This window comes from Homo sapiens, chromosome 7 (genome assembly GCF_000001405.40).
Source record: "Homo sapiens chromosome 7, GRCh38.p14 Primary Assembly".
Taxonomy (NCBI): Eukaryota; Metazoa; Chordata; class Mammalia; order Primates; family Hominidae; genus Homo; species Homo sapiens.
This window is the reverse complement of record NC_000007.14, coordinates 19,193,300-19,194,996: the sequence shown is the minus strand read 5'-3', so window position 1 is coordinate 19,194,996 and position 1,697 is coordinate 19,193,300. Positions and strand designations below refer to the sequence as shown.

General features: G+C 48.6%; 1 annotated feature.

The window, feature by feature from the left end:
• Window positions 261-798: an enhancer, noted in NCBI's record as "NANOG-H3K27ac-H3K4me1 hESC enhancer chr7:19233822-19234359 (GRCh37/hg19 assembly coordinates)". NCBI's record gives its function as "activates a minimal SCP1, AML or CMV promoter by ChIP-STARR-seq in primed H9 embryonic stem cells {active_cell/tissue: H9 hESC(primed)}" and the evidence as "EXISTENCE:reporter gene assay evidence [ECO:0000049][PMID:30033119]".

Below are 1,697 nucleotides of genomic sequence, written 5' to 3'. Positions count from 1 at the left end.
TTTCTGCATTTCCATCTGAGGTACCGGGTTCATCTCACTAGGGAGTGCCAGACAGTGTGCACAGGTCAGTGGGTGCACGCACCGTGCGCGAGCCGAAGCAGGGCGAGGCATTGCCTCACTCGCGAAGCATAAGGGGTCAGGGGGTTCCCTTTCCGAGTCAAAGAAAGGGGTGACGGACTCACCTGGAAAATCGGGTCACTCCCACCTGAATATTGCGCTTTTCGGACCGGCTTAAAAAATGGCGCACCACGAGATTATACCCCGCACCTGGCTCAGAGGGTCCTATGCCCACGGAGTCTCGCTGATTGCTAGCACAGCAGTTTGAGATCAAACTGCAAGGCGGCAGCGAGGCTTGGGGAGGGGCGCCCGCCATTGCCCGGGCTTGCTTAGGTAAACAAAGCAGCCTGGAAGCTCTAACTGGGTGGAGCCCACCACAGCTCAAGTAGGCCTGCCTGCCTCTGTAGGCTCCACCTCTGGGGGCAGGGCACAGACAAACAAAAAGACAGCAGTAACCTCTGCAGACTTAAATGTCCCTGTCTGACAGTTTGAAGAGAGCAGTTGTTCTCCCAGCATGCAGCTGGAGATCTGAGAACCGGCAGACTGCCTCCTCAAGTGGGTCCCTGACCCCTGACCCCTGAGCAGCCTAACTGGGAGGCACCCTCCAGCAGGGGCACACTGACACCTCACACGGCAGGGTATTCCAACAGACCTGCAGCTGAGGTTCCTGTCTGTTAGAAGGAAAACTAACAAACAGAAAGGACATCCACACCAAAAACCCATCTGTACATCACCATCATCAAAGACCAAAAGTAGATAAAACCACAAAGATGGGGAAAAAACAGAACAGAAAAACTGGAAACTCTAAAACGCAGAGCACCTCTCCTCCTCCAAAGGAACGCAGTTCCTCACCAGCAAGGGAACAAAGCTGGATGGAGAATGACTTTGACGAGCTGAGAGAAGAAGGCTTCAGATGATCAAATTACTCTGAGCTACGGGAGGACATTCAAACCAAAGGCAAAGAAGTTGAAAACTTTGAAAAAAATTTAGAAGAATGTATAACTAGAATAACCAATACAGAGAAGTGCTTAAAGGAGCTGATGGAGCTGAAAACCAAAGCTCAAGAACTACGTGAGGAATGCAGAAGCCTCAGGAGCCGATGCGATCAACTGGAAGAAAGGGTATCAGCAATGGAAGATGAAATGAATGAAATGAAGCGAGAAGGGAAGTTTAGAGAAAAAAGCATAAGAAGAAATGAGCAAAGCCTCCAAGAAGTATGGGATTATGTGAAAAGACCAAATCTACATCTCATTGGTGTACCTGAAAGTGATGGGGAGAATGGAACCAAGTTGGAAAACACTCTGCAGGATATTATCCAGGAGAACTTCCCCAATCTAGCAAGGCAGGCCAACGTTCAGATTCAGGAAATACAGAGAACGCCACAAAGATACTCCTCGAGAAGAGCAACTCCAAGACACATAATTGTCAGATTCACCAAAGTTGAAATGAAGGAAAAAACGTTAAGGGCAGCCAGAGAGAAAGGTCAGGTTACCCTCAAAGGGAAGCCCCTCAGACTAACAGCGAATCTCTTGGCAGAAACCCTACAAGACAGAAGAGAGTGGGGGCCAATATTCAACATTCTTAAAGAAAAGAATTTTCAACCCAGAATTTCATATCCAGCCAAACTAAGCTTCATAAGT